At 45.5% G+C, this 21,813-nt stretch overlaps 3 annotated features.

Moving 5' to 3' along the window:
* Positions 4,039 to 4,603: an enhancer, noted in NCBI's record as "H3K27ac-H3K4me1 hESC enhancer chr20:4090944-4091508 (GRCh37/hg19 assembly coordinates)". NCBI's record gives its function as "activates a minimal SCP1, AML or CMV promoter by ChIP-STARR-seq in primed H9 embryonic stem cells {active_cell/tissue: H9 hESC(primed)}" and the evidence as "EXISTENCE:reporter gene assay evidence [ECO:0000049][PMID:30033119]".
* Positions 4,937 to 5,488: an enhancer, noted in NCBI's record as "H3K27ac-H3K4me1 hESC enhancer chr20:4090059-4090610 (GRCh37/hg19 assembly coordinates)". NCBI's record gives its function as "activates a minimal SCP1, AML or CMV promoter by ChIP-STARR-seq in primed H9 embryonic stem cells {active_cell/tissue: H9 hESC(primed)}" and the evidence as "EXISTENCE:reporter gene assay evidence [ECO:0000049][PMID:30033119]".
* Positions 5,489 to 6,041: an enhancer, noted in NCBI's record as "H3K27ac-H3K4me1 hESC enhancer chr20:4089506-4090058 (GRCh37/hg19 assembly coordinates)". NCBI's record gives its function as "activates a minimal SCP1, AML or CMV promoter by ChIP-STARR-seq in primed H9 embryonic stem cells {active_cell/tissue: H9 hESC(primed)}" and the evidence as "EXISTENCE:reporter gene assay evidence [ECO:0000049][PMID:30033119]".

Here is a 21,813-nt window from a genome sequence, read left to right as displayed (position 1 = left end):
TGGTTATACTGTCTTTCTACTTTTCCCATGCTGGGAAGTTGTAACAACACAAAGTTGAGGAAGTTAACGATTTCCTGTGGTGTTGGGGGTGGGAGGGAAAGCTTGCACTCAAGGAGTAGGTGTGGGATATTTATAATTATTCTTCTGCTTTCATTTTTAATTATTGTACACATAATTCGTGTTCATTGTAGAAAATTTCAAAAATGCAAATAAACACAAAGACATAAATAGAAATCACCCATAATCACAGTCCCCAGGAAAAAAGTTAATGCTGTAAATGTTTTCCTATATTCCCATCTGGTCTTTTTATATTTTTACTTCTCCTTCCTCCCAGACTTCAGAGTATGTTTAGGGCCATAATTACCCAGATAATTGTTTTTGCAGAACCTCAGAGCCCTGAAGTATCAAAGCAGGGAAGTGGCTGGAGCTGACAGTTTATCCCACCGTCCTGTTGAGTGACACCATCTGTGCCCCCAGCAGGCTCCAAGAGATAGCAGCTGAATGCTGTGTCAGCTGTGAGGCCTGGCACTGAGGGAGGGGCTGACATCTTCTGGGGAGTGATGGGGCTCTGGCCCCATTGCTGTGGCTGTCACAGAACCCAAGCCCCAGGCTCACACGTGCAAACACACTTCCACATCCATCTGTACACACACACACAGACATACAAACACACTTCCACATCCATCTGCACACACACAGACACACACACTTCCACATCCATCTGCACACACACAGACACACACACTTCCACATCCATCTACACACACACAAACACACAAACACACTTCCACATCCATCTGCACACACTCAGACACACAAACACATACAAACAAGCAAACACACCCCAACACCCAACATACAGCCACACACACAAACACACAGTCACACAAACACACTCGCCAAACTTTCTGTTACCCCTCAGAAATTAACTGGGAAAGTAACTGGCATCTTGCCTTTCTCTTTGATAATTGAGAACAAAAAGTAAATATTTTTCCCTTCTCCCTTCTCAGGAAGGGCAGTCAGAGGAAGAAAGCAGTTGACAAGTTTTTTGTATCTCTTAGGCTACCATGAAACATGTCCCTGTGAGGTCTGGGCCAAGGGGTGGAAGTGTTGATTCTTTGATACAAAGAGGAGAATGACCCAATCACAGCTGATGGCCACCAGGACCTGCAAACCAGATGACAGTCAGAGGCTCTCCTGGTTGACTTTAAAACCAGCCTGCAGAGGAGGATAATCAAGCAATCAAGCACGCTTATTTTAATTTTGCAAAGCCAAGTGACTTTTTTTTTCACCAGGGTGTTGTACGGTAACTCACACCTGTGGTCCCAAAAACAGCTAGGCGTTTGGAAGAAGCAGTGACTTGAGCATTTAAAGTCTAGCTCTGGCCTAATTCACAGAGGGGCTAGAAAGTAATTCACATTGGAGTGTCCCTCTCTGGTCCACTGGACAAAGAGACCAGCCTGGTATACCCCCATGCCCATCAGGCACTGGCCATGGCCCGTGGAAGGCAGATTTAGTGCAGGGAGAAGGAACAGCTGGAAGCCGTTAGCAGCAAATACTCATTCGCTGCTGCTGGGGAACAGCCCATCTGCAGCCAAAGGAGATCCAGGCAGTGCCAGATCATCCTCTATGTGCACCTTTTGAACCAGCAAAAGCTCCAAGCAGGTGGTTCGCACACTTGAGTGAGAATCAGAATCACCCGGCAGACTTCTTAAACCACACATTGCTGGGGGCACCCCGAGAGTTTCTGATTCAGCAGGTATAGAATGCGGCCCGAAAATTTGCATTTCTAACCAGTTCCCAAGTAATTGCTGGTTCTGTTGGTCTGGAGCTCACATTTTGAAAACCACAGCTCTAAGCATATGGGACCGGTAATTTCCACCAATTAAAGGCTGAGTTATGAGCACAGATGGGAATTTCCTGATAAAATCATTGTTAAAATGATGTGCTGAAGCCTCCTGTACACTGATTTGAGGCAGAGATAGGGCCCAAAGAAATAAAGAACTGGCTTAAGCAAAAAGGGAATTCATTGGTTCATAAAACTTAAAGGCTCCAAGGCAGCAGCTTCAGGAATGGTTCGATCGAGGCTCAAATAATGTCTCTCCATCTCCCAGCCTTGCCTCTTTCAGGTTGGCTCCTGTCCCAGATTTGAAAGGGTGGCGCAGCTCCAGACCTCACTTCCTCTCTGCAGGTCCAGCAAGAAACAGCCTTTTCTAGGTTAGTCAAGTTCCAGAATTAGTTTTGGGTAAGCCTAACTGGCTGATTGGCTTAGGTGGAGGTCACAGGTGCCTCCCGTGAGCAAGCCAGGAATGGAGAAGAAGGCTTAGCTGCCACAGCATTGGGCTCTGACCCTGGCTGGGAGCCAGAGACTTCCCCAAATGAAGAAGAGAGCAGCAGGAAAGCCCTGGCTACACACCCTGGAGCAATTGGTTATCAGACTCTGAAAGCCAGATTTGAGTCAGCCATGTTCCTGACCTCCATACCACACCAACGGCTCCCAGGAAATGGTACTAACATTCAGCCCCATTCACAGCTAAAGTAGGGCAGAAAGGCATGGCTATTTGTGAGAAGCCCAAGGCCCCGAGAGCTGAAGGGACATGTCCATTGACACAACTCATTAAAAGCAGTCCCAGATTTGAGCCCAAGCCTCCTGACCAATGCCCTGGGTGGTGCTCCAGGAAGACTATCACAAGCAGGGAGGGGCCTCACTCCTAGCAGCAGGTCAGTGGAGCAAAGTTTCAGGGACTCTCATCCCAGCCAGGGTTCTTCCTTTTGCAAAGAAAGGAACACTGCGTGAAGTGGCTTCAGCAAAAAGAGAATTCACTGGTTCATAAAACTTAAAGGCGCCAAGGCAGCAGCTTCAGGAATGGTTCAATCAAGGCTCAAATGATGTCTCCCCATCTCCCAGCCTTGCCTCTTTCAGGTTGGCTCCTGTCTTAGATTTAAAAGGGTGGCACAGCTTCAGACCTCACTTCCTCTCTGCAGGTCCAGCAAGAAACAGCCTCTTCTAGGTTAGTCAAGTTCCAGAATCAGCTTTGGGTAAGCCTGACTGGCTGACTGGCTTAGGCAGAGGTCACAGGTGCCTCCCCTGAGTAGGGAAGGAGGACAAGCTCCCTAAGGGAAAATCTGCTGCCAGGAAAAGATAGAGGGAAGGTTGACCAGCAGAGCCAGCGGATGTCCCCCTCAGAGAATGCTGCCTACTTGTCGGCTTGCCTGGTTGCCTGGTTATCTAGTTGTTTGGTTGCCTGTCGTCTGGTTATCTGGTTGCCTAGTTGTCTAATTGTATACTTGTCTGGTTACCTAGTTACCTGGTCACCGGGGGCCTGTGTGGGGATGAGCCTCTCTGGCTGACTGTCTTACCTCCATCAAGCCCCGAAGCTGAAGGAGAAAAAGACACAATGTGTAGGCCCCTGGTGCCCAATTCCCTGAGGATGGAGTACCCGGTGGGTGTGTTTGGGGGGCCTGGGGGAGGGTCCCCACTTCTTCTGTGGTGTTCTCCAAGGAGATTGGGAGTGGGCTCTGGCCTGAGTTCCTGGACATCTGGTCCCTGACCTGGCTGTCCCAAGGGATTGAGGGCTACAAAGATAGATCAGGGGTACAACATAGAGCAAAGATCTTTCTACCAGTCAGGGACCCGGAAGGAAATAGTTACAAATTCAAATTCGGATAATTCTGGGAGAGTTTAATAAAGGAACCATTCACAAAGGATGGTCAGGGTATTGGGAGATCTCAAGGGAGGGAACAGTAGTGACAGCTGGAATCTGTGACCACCCAAGGCCTGGCAGTCCAAGGGGAGGGAGCTGCTAGCGGGGAGGGTTAGAACCCAGAGGCAGAAAGGGCTGAGCGGGGAGAGCTGCCTGACAAGCAGCTGGCACCTGGGGCAGGGACACAGCCAGGCTACAGCAGCCCCAGGAGGGAGCTGGCGGGTAAATGCCCACCTCTCTCACTCCTCCCTCTCTTCCATTGGTCATACCCAACCAGAAGCAAAAGCACAGGTAGCCCACAGAGGCAGCCACCCAGCTCAGCCTTGTGGGGCACAGGGCGATGGAGAAGACAGTGGATCTGGAGAGCCTAGAACAGCCCCAAGCACGGGAAGTCTGTCTGGGGGTGCTCCTGGGGCTGCTAGGAGCTAAATCCAAAGATCTGGTGGTTGTTCAGGAAACAGGAAAAGGACCCCTCAGGATCAGGCCCACATGCCAGAGCGAGTCCCTCAGCAGGCAAGGCAAACACTGCAATAGAGTAAGGACAAGCTCAGGGCCAGCCAGGCCATAGGCAGAAAATGCCCCATCAACTGCCAGGACTCCAGGGGCCTGGAGAACCCAGAGGAATTTCAGGAGGCCCTGAAGTTAGGCCAGCTGGACAGAGGGCCCTGAGCTTCACCCATCTCCGAAAACAACAATTGTCCTGAGCTGAGTAAAGAGGCTCGTTTTGTCTTTGTGTCCTTGATCTGGGCAGCTCCAGGGCTCCTCACTGGTGCAAGGAAAGGAGGTGATCCTGTCTCGCTAAGAGCTCAGGCTGCAGGCAGAGCTGGCTTCAAGAGTGCACAGCCTGTGCAGCAGTGCAGGGCCCCGTGCTTAGTTGAATTCTCTTCTGTTGTTGCCTTGAAATTCTTCCTAACTTTTGGACGAGGAGCCCTCCATTTTCATTTTGCACAGGGCTCTTTGCCAGTCCTGACTGCAGCTTGCCACCTATTTCAATACGAGGAAATGGGAGAGGGCAATGCTGAAGCCAGGGGTTTCATGCACAGACAGTATGACAGTCTGGCAGGGAGATATTTAGGCTGGTTGGGCGGGGGGCATTTTTGGAGCCCCTTACATCAAGTCACATAGATAAATGCCTACTGCATCCAAGGGCCAGATTAGCCCCACACAGAACATGAAGATAAAGGGCAGAGAAACCCCCAGGAAGCAACCACAAGAAAGAGTGGGGTCCTGATGACAGTGACTTTGGACAAGGTCTATGCCCCTCACCCACCCACCCAGGAAAGTGCAGGTCCCTCTGGCCCTGCAGGCTGCAGGCTGAGGGGCTGAGTCACCTCCAGGTCCCCAGCTTGAGATGGTCCAGGTTCTCAGAGGCTATGAAGAACTCACTGCCCTGCCAAGGTGCCAGGGTTACTGGCAGCCCCAGGCTCCTGGTGTCCTCTTACATCCTATGACATCAATTCAGGCGTCTCAGGTGCCGGCCTGGGTGGCAGAGCAGAGAGCCACCATGTGAGCCAGGCCCACGTCTTTCATCTACTGCCCAGTATTCCTGATACGGCTACTCCTGTGGGTAGGCGAGTTACAGAGACAGCACCCCAACAGCACCCCAACATCTGAGGCCCCCTTCTACGCAGGGTACTAACAAGGCCTCCCAACAGTGCCATGAGGTAGGCATTATTATCATCCCCAATTTACAGAGATTTATGGCCCTGGTACCACAGTGGATACCAGCAGCCAGAGAAAGCCCCAGGCAAAGACACACAGGTTCTGGCAGATGGAAGCCACGAAGTCAGAGGATTGGTGGGACTCAGACAGCACCTACTACACCCGGCACGGAGATGGGCCTGTGGGCAACTGCCTCTTGCACTTGGCAGTGCAGATGGGGAAGCAGAGTTGCTGCATATCAGGCACCTACTGTTTGCATGATCCTAGGCTAAAATCTCTTTATACATGAGGTCTCCGACTCTCATAACCGCCCCATGAGAAAAGTCTTATTAACTGCTCCCATTTCATAGATGAGGGGCTCAAAATGATGTATCTTGCCCACATCACGCCCAGACGGTAAATGGCAGGGCTGAAATTCGAACCCAGGTGGGTCCGACCCCAGGGAACGTACAGAGACAGAGAGAGAGGAGCCCGTGCAAGATGCACCTGGCAGGAGATACTGCTCAGCAAATGAAGGACCTTTCATGTCCTAGGGAGCTGCTGAAGAATTCTGAACCAGTGACACCATCAGGTATGAGGTTTCCAGAGGTCATGCAGGGTATGTGGGGAGAACTGAAGGGGGCTTACAGCAACACTGGAGGCCGGAAGGGCAGTGAGAGGCTTTTGCAATTTGCGGGTGCTTTTCATCAGCCATGGTTACCTTGTGGTCCTGTGCTGTCCCCAAGCGGTAGTTCGGCAGAATTGATTCCTTCACTGAGGACCTTCTTGTTCAGCCTGGAGCACGCATTAGAATCAGCGGGAGGGTTTATTAACACAGAGGTATGGGGTGGGCCCAAGAATGTGCCTTTCTAACGAGTTTCCAGGTGATGCTGATGGTCTGGAGACCACAGTTTGAAAACCACAGGCTTAATTGCTTTCAAGGGGCCACGCAATCAGGCTGCCTCGTGGGGAGAAGGCGGTTACAGAGGATCCTGGCCTCAGAGCTGTGACCTCAGAAGGGAGGCGCCTGAAGCAAGTAGGGAAGGCTTCTGAGGGCATGGGGTCCGAGAACCATTAGGACTCAAAGGAGCCAAATTTCAGGGGAGGCAGGAGCTTGGGGAAACCTGTAAAGTGGCTGCCCCGCTTTCATACGTCATTTCTGCATCTTAAACAATAGAAAGCAGGCTGGGTGCCAGGCGCAGTAGCTCATGCCTGTAATCCCAGCACTTTGGGAGGCCAAGGCAGTGGATCACTTGAGGTCAGGAGTTCGAGACCAGCCTGGCCAACATGGTGAAACCCCGTTTCTACTAAAAATACAAAATTTAGCTGGGCATGGTGGCACGTGCCTGTCATCCCAGCTACTCAGGAGGCTGAAACAGGAGAATCACTTGAGGGAGGCGGAGGTTGCAGTGAGCTGTGATCACGCCACTGTACTCCAGACTGGGTGACAGAGCAAGACTCTATCAGAAAGAATGAGAGAGAGAGAGAGAGAGAGAGAAAGGAAGAAAACAAACAGGCTGGGTTTGGTGGTGCACGCCTGCAATCTTAGCGACTCAGGAGACCAAGCAGGAGGATCGCTTGAGGACATGAGTTCGAAGCTGCAGTGAGCTATGGTCATGCCACTGCACTCTAGCCTGGGTGACAGAGCAAGATGCTGTCTCTAAATAACAATAATAGTAGTAGTAAAAAGCATTTTCTATTAGTGTTCTAAGCACTTTACGTGTCTTAATTCAATCAACTCTACAAGTTTGCGAAGGAATAAATTCTGATATTATCCTCCAGTTAGGGGCTGATTTATGTCCCCCTCCAAATTCATGTATTGGAGTCCTGACCCCAGTCCCTCAGAATGTGACTGTATTGGAAGATAGGGTCTTTGGAGAGGTAATTAAGATGAGGCTGCTAGGATGGGCCCTAATACAATATGACTGGTGTACTTCTAAGAAGAGGAAATTTGGACACAGACACAGACAGAGGGAAGATCCTGTGAGGACACAGGGAGAAGGTGGCCGCCTATCGGCCAAGGAGAAAGGCCTCCAACAAACCAGCCCTGAGACACCTTGAGCTCAGACTCCCAGCCTCCAGAACTGTGAGTAGATACATTTCTGTTGTTTAAGCAGTCCATTCTGTTGTACTGTGTTCTGGCAGCCCTAGCAAACTGATACACCCTCATGTTACAGGTAAGGAAACTGAGGCACACAGGGGTTAAATAATGGGCCCAGTTGCTTCTTGAACTCAAGTAGTCTGAGTAGTAATTAGTTCCCTCCCTGAGGGCTCTATAGATCTGGGGCCGACGTCTGGTTGAGACCCACACCAAACGCCACACAGTAAGAGTTGCTCCCCCAAGCCTAGCATCAGTCATAGCTTATGCTGCAACAAAGACACACAATTCAGTGGGACATAATTTAGGTCCAAGCCATGTTTTGTTTTGTTTTGTTTTGAGTCGGAGTCTCACTCTGTCGCCCAGGCTGGAGTACGATGGCATGATCTTGGCTCACTGCAACCTCCGCCTCCTGGGTTCAAGCAATTCTCCTGCCTCAGCCTTTCAAGTAGCTGGGATTACAGGCGCCTGCCACCAGGCCCGGCTAATTTTTGTATTTTTAATAGAGACGGGGTTTCACCGTATTGGTCAGGCTGGTCATGAAAACCTGACCTCGTTATCTGCCCACCTCAGCCTCCCAAAGTGCTGGGATTACAAGTGTGAGCCACCATGCCTGGCCCCAAGCCAAGGTTTTTTGTGGGTTTTTTCTTTCTTTTCTTTTTGAGACAGGGTCTCACTCTGTTGCCCAGGCTGGAGTGCAGTGGCATGATCTCAGCTCACTGTAGCCTCGATCTCCTGGGCTCAAGCAATCCTCTCACTTCAGCCTCTAGAGTAGCTGGGACTGCAGGCAAGCCACCATCCCTGGCTAATTTTTACATTTTTTGTGGAGTTGGGGTCTTGCCATCTTGCCCAGGCTGGTCTTGAACTCCTGGGCTCACCCAGCACTGGGAACTCCTGCCTCAGCCTTCCAAAGTGCTGGGATTACAGGTGTGAGCCACCATGGCTGGCCTTTTTTTGAGCCAGTAGGCGCTGTGCTGCTCCCAATCGTGAGTGAGTGAGTCTTGCTCTCAGCCCTTCTCCTCTGCTGCCTTTCCCCCGCACCACCACAGAGCAAGAGCTTCTCAATCTCCTTGGACTATGAAGATGGTTAGCCAAACTCATCTTCTCTCCCTATGCGCTTCCTACTTCCATCCCCTCTGCCCCACTGCAGCGCCTGAGAGGGTTTTCTCTGGCCCTCTTCAGCCTCATCCCTCCCCTGCCTAAAGCCTTAAGGATGCAATATTTTTTTTTTTTTAAAGACAGAATCTCGCTTTATGCCCCATGCTGGAGTACAGTGGTGCAATCTCGGCTCACTGCAAACTCCGCCTCCCGGGTTCAAGTGCTTCTTCTGCCTCAGCCTCCCGAGTAGCTGGGATTACAGGCACCGACCACCATGCCCACCTAATTTTTGTATTTTTAGTAGAGACAGGGTTTCACCATGTTGGCCAGGCTGGTCTCAAACTCATGATATCAGGTGATCCACCCACCTCGGCCTCCTAAAGTGCTGGGATTACAGGCGTGAGCCACCGCGCCTGGCCAAGGTTGCAACTTTTAAATGCCCATTGCAGATGTCATGACACACACTCTTCGATACCCCAACACATGTGGTCATCCCACAGAGGCACAATGGACCCCAACAGTTGGCACAGCAAGCAGGGCATGTGGGCAGTGACCGTGATGGCAGGGGTCTCTCTTCCCTCGCTTTGGCTTGTGAACTGGCTCTGCTGCCTGCTGGCGACCTGCCCTCTGCGCCTCTGCCCGCTGATTCGTTTGTGTTTGGAGCTGTGCTGCTTTGTGCTGATTGGCCAAGTCCTCTGAGCGTCTGTTACAGATTTTACCAGGGCAAGCTGGAAGTTTCAGTAATTGGTGTTTAGGGACAGAAGTATGGGATTGGAGCCCTCTTTAACGTGGCTCTGGGTCATGGACCTTGGCATGGCCCTATCTGTGTGTCTCACTGAATTGTGTGGTTCCAGCATAAGCTATGGCTGATGCTGGGCTCAGCGGAGCAACTCTTACTGTGGGGCCTTTGGCTGTGAGTCTCAACCAGACATTGGACCCGAATCTGCAGAGCACTCAGGGGAACTAGTAACACCTTGTGCAGTATTTCCACCCAATGATGGTCACTCATGGGGTGCAGGAGCTGTCACCATGTGGCCTGCTGAGGTCCACACCCCTAAAAGGTGATGGCTTTCCAAGTGCCACCTGCTGCTGCTGCTGCTACCTGTGCCTCTCTCACACCAAAGACCCTGATCCCCAGGGTTATAAGAAAAAGACATCCATGACATCCCATGGACAGACTCCTGTGAAAAAGGCCTGAATGCTTTATCTCAGCCCCTCCTAAGGGGTTAGAGGATACCCTGGCCCTATTGGACAGCTGTAAAATGGACCAACAAAGATTCTGGGGTCAGCTGAGTGCCACAACTTATCAACACGCAACAGGGCTGCTCTGCCCCCGTGAAGTCTGTGTCCCTTAGCCAACAAGGTAACCACTGCCCTGGAGGAGGCGCGCCCTGACCATGCTAATGTGAGACCCTCTGAAGGATGAAGCTTACAAATATGGCAAAGATGGAGGGGACCTGCCTCAAACCACAGTGAGTAACCACCTCCCTCCAGATACCTGGATACAGGGGGAGAAAACAAAAAACCAAGGTCCACAGTTGGGGATGACCCAAGTAGAAATCCAAAATAATTTTTTGGTTTTTGAGACAGCGTCTCGCTCTGTCACCTAGGCTGGAGTGCAGTGGCACAATCTTGGCTCACTGCAACCTCCGCCTCCCGGGTTCAAGCAATTCTCCTGCCTCAGCCTCCGAAGTTGCTGGGACTACAGGCGGGAGCCACCGCGCCCAGCTAATGTTTGTATTTTTAGTAGAGATGGAGGTTTGCCATGTTGACCAGGCTGGTCTCAAACTCCTGGCCTCAGGTGATCCACCCACCTCGGCCTCCCAAAGTGTTGGGGTTACAGGCGTGAGCCACCGCGCCCAGCCGGGAATCCAAAATTTACTGAAAGAATTTATACAACAAAAACATGAAAGGGTGCCGAATGGCTTTTGCGCCTCTACAACATGAGTTTTGAATTAAGTTCAACATCTGCTGAAATGTACCAATTGGGAAAATGTCATTTTCTTAATCCTGGGGCTCAAATTACAGTTATACCAGTGATCCCACTAAATTAAGACAAGGTACCCTTTGTAATCTTAGGGAAGTTACTAAATATGACAGGAGAAACAGGTATGCCTCGCCTTAACCATCTGAACTATTGCCTTGCCTAAATTCCCTGTAGTCATAGCACCCATTATTCTAAAATGTCCTATAATGGGCATGGACTCTCTGATCCAATGACTAATACATTAAAATTCATTTAAGTCTTTGGCACTTAACAATCAGGTTGACAAAATGGGACCCCATGGACCCACCTCTTCCTTTTCATTTAAAATAGTTAATGTGGCCCAACATAAATTAAAGCAGGGCCTTCAAGGATTAAAACTCATTATACAAGATTTATTCAGAAAAGGGGTGATTATCCACACTGTTTCTCCATTTAATAGCCTGTTTGTGAACCTGGAAAGGATGAGTGGTGCCTCACAGTGAATTACCACAATACTTTTTTTTTTTTTTTTTTTTTTGAGACAGGGTCTCGCTCTGACGCCCAGGCTGGAGTGCAGTGGTGCAATCTTGGCTCACTGCAACCTCCGCCTCCTGGGTTCAAGTGATTCTCCTGCCTCAGCCTCCTGAGCTGGGATTACAGGTGCCTGCCACGACACCCAGCTAATTTTTGTATTTTTAGTAGAGACGGGGTTTCACCATGTTGATCAGGCTGGTCTCAAACTCCTAACCTCAAGTGATCCACTCACCTCGGCCTCCCAAAGTGCTGGGATTACAGGCTTGAGCCACCGAGCCCAGCCCTTTGCCCATTTTTAAAATTGGGTTGTTTGTCTTTTTGTTGTTGGGTTGTAGGTGTTCTTTATATATTCAGGATATTACAACCTAATCAAATATGATTTACAGATATTTTCTACCATTCTGTCAGTTGTCTTTTTACTCTGCAATAGTACCCATTCTTGATGGGGCTATTTTTTTTTTATTATTGAACTGAAAAAGTTCTTTAGAGGACTTGTCTAGAGACAAGTCCATCATCGGATATATGAATTGCAAAAAAAAATTTTTTTATTCTGTAGGCTGTGTCTTCACTTGCTCCTGGTGTCCTTTGAAGCACAAACATTTTTAATTTTGACAATGAATACTGGGCTCTTGGAAAAGATGTTTAACAGAACTTTCACCTCCTTTATTGGCCTCAGACTCAAGGTCTCATAGGGCACCATAATGGTTCACTTAAACAAGTTCAAATGAAATCAAATGAAACATGGCACCTTTCAGTCAGCAGTCGAGCATCGGGGTGAACTGTAATGAGTCTGACTCCATTTTTTTTTTTTTTTTTTTTTGAGACGGAGTTTCACTCTTGTTGCCCAGGCTGCAGTGCAATGGCACGATCTCGGCTCACTGCAACCTCCCCCTCCCAGCTTCAAGTGATTCTCCCACCGCAGCCTCCCAAGTAGCTGGGATTACAGGCATGCGCCACCACGTCCGGCTAATTTTGTATTTTTAGTAGACACGGGGTTTCTCCATGTTGGTCAGGCTGGTCTCGAAATCCTGACCTCAGGTGATCCTCCCAACCCGGCCTCCTAGAGTGCTGGGATGACAGGCGTAAGCCACCGCGCCCAGCCAATTCTGACTCCATTTTTGATGATTAACTGCTGACAGCTGTCAAGCCCCATCCCTCCCTTTTCCCCTCTTGCCGTATAGCTGGACAAACCAATAAAAAAGCCCAGCTGCTCCCTCCCTTGCTGCTGGCAGATAGTTTCACCCACACAAACCCAGCCCATGGGTAGGGGCCCTCACCCCAGCCTCCCTTCCAAACACAAAGCCAGGCCAGCTGCCCCTGTCTGCATTCTCAAGCTACTTTGGGGCCTGTTTAGGAACCTGCTGTACTCTCCCCAGAATGGCTCATTACATGAGTCACAAATCTTTTCATGCCTTCTCGGTGTGCAGATAGCATCATCAGTCTCAACATCCAAACCAAATTTCACGTGGGTTAGGGGAGATCTATCCCACATCTGTGGGGTGATCACAGCAATGCACATCTCCTAAAACTCTCAACATCCTCCTACGTCAAGGCCAATACCACGGCTAAAATAATTAACAGTAAGTGGTGCTGATTATTTAAATCTATATACAAATATCCCCAGTTGTTTCCAAAATGTCTTATGTAGCTACATTGTTTTGATTTGTATTTTCTTAAATCAAAATCTAATTATTGTTTGTATCAGGTTTCTGTCTCTTTTGTGTCCTTTAATCTAGAACTGGACCATTCAATACAGAAGCCGCAAGTGGTTAGTGGCTATTAAGAACTTGAAATGTGCCTGATCCAAACTGAGATGTGCCATAAGTATAAAACCCACAATGAATTTCAAAGAACTAGTACTCACAAAAAGTAATGTAAAATAGCTCATTAATAAATTTTTTATGGCTTACATATAGAACTGAAAATTTTTTTGATATATTGAGGGTGAGGCAGAATAATGCACCCCAAAGATGTCCATGCCCTAATCCCTAGAACGTGTGAGAATATATTACTGTACAGAGCAAAATAGATTTTGCAGCTGTGACTAAGTTTAAGGATTTTACTATAGGGAGATTATACTGAATTATCTAGGTGGGTCCAATCTAATCACATGAGTTCTTAAAAGCAATGAACCTTTCCCAACTGTATCGGGGAGATGCAACCTGAGAAGTACTTGACCTGCCATTGCTGGCTTCAAAGATGAAGAAAGAAAACCAGAAGCCAAGAAATACAGCAGTCTCTGGAAGCTAAGAACATCCCTCAGCGTACAGCTAGCAAGAAAACAAGGACCTCAGCAAGGTAGTAAATTCTGCCAACAACCCAAATGAGCAAGAAATTGATTCTCTCCCAGAACCTCCAGAAAAGAACACAGCCTACCACGCCTTGGTTTTAGTCTGATGAGACCTGTATCGGACTTCTGACCTATAGCACCGTAAGATAACAAATTACTAATAAGTTTATGACAGCAGTAATAAAAAAACTATTACACTAGGTTAATTATTTATTCTAATTTAATATTAATAAATTAGTAACAATTATTAAAACTAATTTAACCAGTTTCTTTTTACATTTTTGGTTTTTTTTTTTTTTGAGACAGAGTTTCACTCTTGTTGCCCAGGCTGGAGTACAATGGCGCGATCTGGGCTCACCACAACCTCTGCCTCCCAGGTTCAAGTGATTCTCCTGCCTCAGCCTCCTGAGTAGTTGGGATTACAGGCATGCGCCACCACGCCCAGCTAATTTTGTATTTTTAGTAGAGACAGGGTTTCTCCATGTTGGTCAGGCTGGCCTTGAACACCTGACCTCAGGTGATCCACCCACCTCAGCCTCCCAAAGTGCTGAGATTACATGCGTGAGCCACCACACCTGGCCTTTACTTTTTTAATGTGACTACTAGAAAATTAAAAGTTACATACTGTATATGACTCACATTTGTGGTTCACTTTGTTTCTGTTAAACAGTGCTGATCACACACAGGCACATCACATATTTTTTAACCCATGACACTACATTGACTTTGTATATATAGAGAGAGACGAGGTCACTATGTTGATAAAGCTGGAGTGCAGTGGCACAACACAGAGAGAGACCTTGATTATAGCTTACTATAGCATCCAGCTCCTGGGTTCAAGCAATTCTTCCACCTCAGCCTCCCAAGCAGCTGGGACTACAGGCACCACTGCCTCTGGCTTGACATAGACTTTTTGAGGACAGCACACTAGTTGTCTTGCAGAATATTCCCCCTACTCTGGACTTGTCAGATTGCTTTATCATGGTGTCATTTAACTTACTCCTCTACCCTGTATATTCCCTGTAACCTGGAAGTTCATTTAAACAGTTTCATTAGATATGGGTTAAACATTTTTGGCAAGAATACAAAGGTGGCACTATGACGTCATGTTGTATGTATCACATCAGGAAGCTCATAATGTTTGGTTGTCTGACTATAAATGATGCAAGTTCGATTATTAGTTAAGGTCGTGTTGTGAGTTGAACTGTGTCCCCCCAAAAGATAAACTGAATTCCAAACCCCTGGTACCGGTGAATGTGACTTTATTTGAAAATAGTGGTTTTTGCAGATATAATCAAGCTAAGATGAAATCATACTGGATTAGGGTGGGCCTAATCCCATACTGTCCTTACAAGAGAGAAATTTGGACACCAAGACACAGAGACGTTCAGGGTGGATGCCAAGTGATGACAGAGGCAGAGGCTGGTGATGTGTCTATAAGGCCAAGAATGCCAAGCATCGCTGGCAACCACCAGAAGCCAAGAAAGAGGCATGGAACTGATTCTTCTTCAGAGCTCCCAGAAGGAACCAACCCTGCTGACACAATGATTCAGACCTCTGGCCTCCAGAACGGAGAGAATACTTTTCTATTGTTTTAATCCTATTGTTTATTCTATTGTTTAAATTATTGTAATAATTTGCTACAGCAGCCCCAGGAAATAAGTTCAGGTGGTGACATCAGATCTTTCTAACACAAAGGGAAGAAGGGCCGGGCACGGTGGCTCACACCTGTAATCCCAGCACTTTGGGAGGCTGAGGTGGGCGGATCACCTGAGGTCAGGAGTTCAAGACCAGCCTGACCAACATGGTGAAACCCCGTCTTTACTAAAAACACAAAAATTAGCCGGGTGTGGTGGCGCATGCCTGTAATCCCAGCTACTCGGGAGGCTGAGGCAGTAGAATCGCTTGAACCAGGGAGGCAGAGGTTGCAGTGAGCCGAGATCACGCGACTGCACTCCAGCCTGGGTGACAGAGCAAGACTCCATCTCAAAAAAATAAATAAATAAAAGGGAAGAGGTTTATAGTAATATTCCATTGTGGTTTAATTTGCATTTCCCTATGACTAGTAATGTTGAGCATTGAACATCTTTGTGTGAATTTATTTGCCATGTGTTTCTCTTCTTTGGTGAAGAATGTTTTCCCATTTTTGTTTAAGTTGTTGGTTTTCTTAATATTGAGTTTTAAAAGGTTTTTTAAAAAATATTCTAAACATACATCTTTTATCAGTTATTTAACTTGCAAATATTCTTCTTCCAGTTTGTGGCTTGTCTTTTTGTTCTCTCAAAAGTGCCTTTCAAAGAACAGGAGTTATGGCTGGGTATGGTGGCTCACACCTGTAATCCTAGCACTTTGGGAGGCCGAGATGGGTCGATCGTTTGAGGTCAGGAGTTCTAGACCAGCCTGGCCAACATGGTGAAACCCCGTCTCTACTAAAAACACAAAAATTAGCTGGGCATGGTGGCAGGCGCTTATAATCCCAGCTACTTGCAAGGCGGAGGCTCGAGAATCACTTGGACCCGGTGGCAGAGTGAGACTCTGACTCAAAAAAAAGAGAACAGAAACAAGATCACAATATTTTCCCCTGTGTTTTATTTTTAAAGTTTTATAGTTTTAGGTCTATGATCGCTTTTGAGTTTATTTTTATATGGTGCCAAGTATAGATAAAAGGTTCATTTTTCTGTATATGGATAAACAAATGTTCATGCACTGTTTGTTAAAACAGAAACTACCCTTTCTCCAGTGAATTGCCTTTGCACCACTGTCAAAAATCAATCGGCCATATATGAGAAGGTCTATTTCTGTACTGTATTATGTTTCATTGTTCTGTTTTTCTTTCTTGATGCCAATTTCACACTGTCTTGATTAATGCCAGTTTCTAAGTCTTAAAGTCAAGTAGTGTAAATCCAACTTTATTCTTCTTTTACAAACTGGTTTTAGCTATTACAAGTCCTTTGCACTTCTATGTTAATTTTAGAATCAGCTTATACATTTCCACCAAAAAAGACTGCTGGGATTTTGATTGGAATTGCATTGAATCTACAGATCAATTTGGAAAGGAATGATACTTTGTAATATTGAGTCTTGCTATCCATGAACACATTATATCTCTCCTTTTATTTAGATCTTCTTTAATTTCTATCAGTAATTTTCATTGTGATATCTCATACATCTTTTGTCAGATTTAGCTCTTAAGTATTTTATGTATCTCATGCTGTTGTAAATGGTTTTGCTTCATTTCAATTTTCTATTATTCCTTGCTAGTATAAGGAAATAAATTGATGTTTGTGCCAGGCGTGGTGGCTCACACCTGTAATCCCAGCACTTTGGGAGGCCGAGGCGGGCAGATCATGAGGTCAGGAGATCAAGACCATCCTGGCTAACACAGTGAAACCCGGTCTCTACTAAAAATGCAAAAAATTATCCGGACATGGTGGCGGGCACCTGTAGTCCCAGCTACTCGGGAGGCTGAGGCAGGAGAATGGCGTGAACCTGGGAGGTAGAGCTTGCAGTGAGCCAAAATCCTGCCACTGCACTGCAGCCTGGGTGACAGAGCGAGACTCCATCTGAAAATAAATAAATAAATAAATAAATAAATAAATAAATAAATAAAATGAATTGATGTTTTTATTGTGATCTTGTATCTTACAATCTTGCTAAACCACTTATTAATTCTAGTAGCTTTTTGTAGATTTCATAAGATTTTCTAGGTAGAAATTTCATAAGATTTTCTAGACAATCAGATGACTTGATGACTTTATCATCTGCAAATAAAGATAGTCTTACTTCTTTCTATTCAATGTGAATGTCTTTTTTTTCTTACCTTTTTGCATGGGATACACCTCCAATACAATTTCAAGTAGAAATAATATAAGCACACGTTCTTGCCTTGCTCCTGAGCTGAGGGAGAATGCACCACTAAATATGACATTAGTTAAAGGTTCTTCATAGATGTATGCTCTTTATCAAGTTGAAGAATTTCCCCTCTCTTCCTGGTTTTCTGGGAGTATTACCAGAAATGGATTTGAAATTATGTCAAATGATTTTTCTACATCTATTGAAATGATCCTTTTTTTCTTTTTTAGTCTATTTATGTCGTGAACTACATTAATTATTCCAATGTTGGAGCAATGTTGCATTCCTGTGATAAATCCCATTTGGTCATGATATATTACTCTTTTTTTCTCCGCCTCCCGGGTTCATGCCATTCTCCTGCCTCAGCCTCCCAAGTAGCTGGGACTACAGGTGCCCGCCACCATGCCCGGCTAATTTTTTGTATTTTTAGTAGAGACAGGGTTTCACCATGTTAGCCAGGGTGGTCTCGATCTCCTGACCTCGTGATCCACCCACCTCAGCCTCCCAAAGTGCTGGGATTACAGGCGTGAGCCACCGTGCCCAGCCATATTACTCTTTTCATATATTGTTAGATTTGCTTTGCTAAAACTACAATAAGAATTTTACATCCACATTCAGGAGAACACTGGTTTGTAGGTTTCTTTCCTTGTAATATCAATTTCTGATTTTAACAACAGAGTAATAATACTGGTCTTGGCCAGGCACGTTGGCTCATGCCTGTAATCCCAGCACTTTGGGGGGCCAAGGCAGGCATATTACTTGGGCTGAAGATTTCGAGACCAGCCTGGGTAACATGGCAAAACCCTATCTCTACAAAAACATACCAAAAAATAGCCAGGTATGGTGGAGTGTTTCTGTAGTCCTAGCTACTTGAGAGGCTGAGGTGAGAGGATTGCTTGAGCCCAGGAAGCAGAGGTTGCAGTGAGCCAGGATTACACCATTGCACTCCAGCCTGGATGACAGAGGAAGACCCTGTCTCAACAAGTAATAATAATAATAATAATAATAATAATAATATTGTCCTCATAGAATTAGTTAGGAAGTAGTCTCTTCTCTTCAGTGTTTTAGAAGATGCAATGCAATGTGATGACATGCAATGCTCTGTAATGTCATGCATTTAGTTCTAAATATGTTACGAATCCCACAGTAATTGTTAATCAGTTTGCTTTAGGCCGTCAATTATTATTTAAAGAAAAATTTTTTCTTTAAACAATTTTTAAATCATAATTTTTAAAGTCTTTACACTTACCCAAGAAGTTACTATTTCCAGTGCCCTTCATACATTTGCGTAGATCAACATTTCTAGCTGGCACAATTTTCCTTCTGCCTGAAGAACTTCCCTTAACGTTTTATATTTATTTATTTATTTATTTATTTATTTTGAGACAAGATCTCACTCTGTCGCCCAGGCTGGAGTGCAGTGGCATGATCTCGGCTCACTGCAGCCTCCACCTCCCAAGTTCAAGCAATTCTTCTGCCTTAGCCTCCCAAATAGCTGGGATTACAGGCTCTTGCCAGCACGCCCAGCTAATTTTTGTATTTTTTAGTACAGACAGGGTTTCACCATGTTGGTCAGGCTGGTCTCCAACTCCTGATCTTGTGATCTGCCCACCTTGACCTCCCAAAGTGCTGGGATTACAGGTGTAAGCCACTGCACCAGGCCAACATTTCTTATAGTGCAGATCTGAGGTTGATGAATCTTTCAACTTCTGCATGCCTGAAAAAAAAGTTTTTATTTTCTCTTTAGTTTCCAAAAATGTGTTTACACAGTGAAGCATTCTAGATTGACAGATGTATTTATTTTCTTTGAGTAAAGATGTTAATCCACTGTCTTTTAGCTTGCATTGTTTCCAAGAAGAAATCTGCTGTCATGTTTCTCCATACATTATGTGTTGTTGTTTGTTTATTTGTGTGTTTTCCCCTCCTGGCTACTTTTAAGATTTTCTCTTTATCATCGGCTTTAAAAAATTTAATTATAGTGCGATTTGGCATAGTTTTATTCATAGCTCTTGTGCTTGGGTTTATTGTGGCTTTTGGATCTCTGGGTTTATAATTTTCATTATATTTGGAAACATTCTGGCTACTATTGCTTCAAATGTCTTTTCAGTCTCCTCTTCTCAGTCATCTTTAGAGATTCCAATTGCACACACTTTTTATTAAAGTCATCTCACAGTTCACTCATGATCTGCTCATTTATTTTCAGCCTTTTTTTTCCTCTGTGCATTTTATTTTGGATAGTTTCTATTTCTATGTCTTCAAGTTTACTAATATTTTCTCCAGTAATATCTAATCTTCCATGAATCCTCTCGTGTATTTTTCATCCCAGACATTATAATGCTCATCCTTAGAAATTTGGTTTGAATCTTCTTAATATTTTATGTTTCTAATTATCATGTTTGAGCTTTCCTCTATCTTCTTGAACATATGAACTGTAGTCACAATAATGATTTTGATGTCTTTGTCTACTAATTCCATTATCTGTGTTTTGCTGTGTTGGTTTTAGTTGATTTTTCCCTCTTGTGAATAATGTTTTTCTGATTTTCACATGTCTAAAAATTTCTTGAGTTTTTTCTAAGATATGGTTAGATTACTTAGGAACAGTTTTATACTTCCAGATCTTGCTTTTAAGGTTTTTGGGCAGGTTGTACTGCCCTGCATTATGGCCTGGAGATTCTCTCCAGGCAGTAGGGTGGGGCAATTGTAGGGCTCACTCATTTTTTTCCCATCTCTCTAGGATCACTGTCCTTCAGTATCTAATGTCCAATGTCTTTAGAGCCATTGTTTTATACATTTTTCAAGGTTTTTAGTTGTTTCAAGTAGGAGTATAAATCAGTCCATCTTGACCAGCCGTGTGTGTGTGTGTGTATGTGAGTATTAATCTTACATTTGTTACATTGAGCAAAAAGAGGAAGACAGGAAGAAAGGAAGTTTTCATTGTCTAGAGGTATTGACAATTTTGGAATAATTTGTGTTCATTCAATCAACAAATACACATTGAACTTCTGGGTGTCATCTCTTAATTTCATGCCCAATATCCTGACTAACAGTGCTCCAACTCTGTTTAAGGTACTTATATATCCAGCCCTAAGTAACGTATTTTTTTTTTCTTTTTTGAGACAGTCTCACTCTGTTGCCCAGGCTGGAGTGCAGTGGAGCGATCTCGGCTCACTACAACCTCTGTCTCCCAAGTTCAAGTGGTTCTCCTGCTTCAGCCTCCCGAGTAGCTGGGATTACAGACGTGTACCACCACCCTCAGCTAATTTTTGTATTTTAAGTAGAGATGGGATTTCACCATGTTGGCCAGTCTGTCTCTAACTCCTGACCTCAAATGATCTGCCTGCCTCAGCCTCCCAAAGTGCTGGGATTACAGGCATGAGCCATTGCACCCAGCCCCATGTAATGTTTCTTGATTGGTCTTAACGTGCACTGGCCAATATGATAGACCCTAACCACGTGTGGCAATTGAGCATTTGATATGTGACTAGTCTGAATTGAGATGTGCTGTTAGAATAAAATGCACAGCATATTTTTAATATTTAGTAACTTAATCATGTGTATATCGGTTTCATGTCAAAATAATAATATTTTTAATATATTAGGTTAAATAAAATACACTTTTTTTTTCGAGATGTAGTTTCGCTCTTGTTGCCCAAGCTGGAGTGCAATGCACAATCTCGGCTCACTGCAACCTCCATCTCCCAGGTTCAAGCAATTCTCCTGCCTCAGCCTCCCGAGTAGCTGCGATTACAGGCATGCACCACCACGCTCAGCTAATTTTTGTATTTTAAGTAGAGACAGGATTTCGCCATGTTGGCCAGACTGGTCTCGAACTCCCGACCTCAGGTGATCAGCCCACCTTGGCCTCCCAAAGTGCTGGGATTACAGGTGTGAGCCACTGCACCTGGCCTAGAATACACTATTAAAAGTAATTTCATCTCTTTCTTTTTATGTTTTTAATATGGTTACTGGAAGACTGTCAATTACACATGTGACTCACATTATATTTCTATTGGCCAGCACTAATTTAAACCAATCATGAGAATACTATTGAGTGTTAGAGTTCTCTAGGGAAACAGAACCAATAGGAGATATACATATACATATATACATATATATCTCCTATACATAGGCAAGTCCCAAGATCTGCAGAGTGAGTTGGCAAACCAGAGACCCAAGAGGGCTGATGGTTTCATTCTAGCCCAAGTCTGAAGCCCTGAGAACCAGGAGAACCAATAGTGTAATTCTTATCCAAAGACCAGCAGTTTCAAGGCCCAGGAAGAGCTGATGTTTCTGTTCACGTCCAAAGGCAAGAAAAAAGCTGATGACCCAGTTTGAAAGCAATCAGGCAGGAGGAATTCTTTCTTACTCAAGAGAGGGTCAGCCTTTTTGTTCAATTTAGGCTTTCAATTGATTGGAGGAGGGCTCACATTAGGGAAAGCAATCTGCTTTACTTGGTCTAACAATTTAAGTGTTAATCTCATCCAAAAGCACTCTCGCAGAAATACCCAGAACAATGTTTGATCAAATACCTGGGCACCCCATGGCCCAGTCAAGAAGACACACAAGGCCAGGCGTGGTGGCTCACTCCTGTAATCCCACCACTTTGGGAGGCCGAGGCAGGCAGATCACT

The sequence above is a fragment of the Homo sapiens genome, chromosome 20 (assembly GCF_000001405.40).
Source record: "Homo sapiens chromosome 20, GRCh38.p14 Primary Assembly".
NCBI lineage: Eukaryota > Metazoa > Chordata > Mammalia > Primates > Hominidae > Homo > Homo sapiens.
Note: the sequence above shows the minus strand (reverse complement) of the source record. Positions and strands in the feature narration are given on the sequence as shown.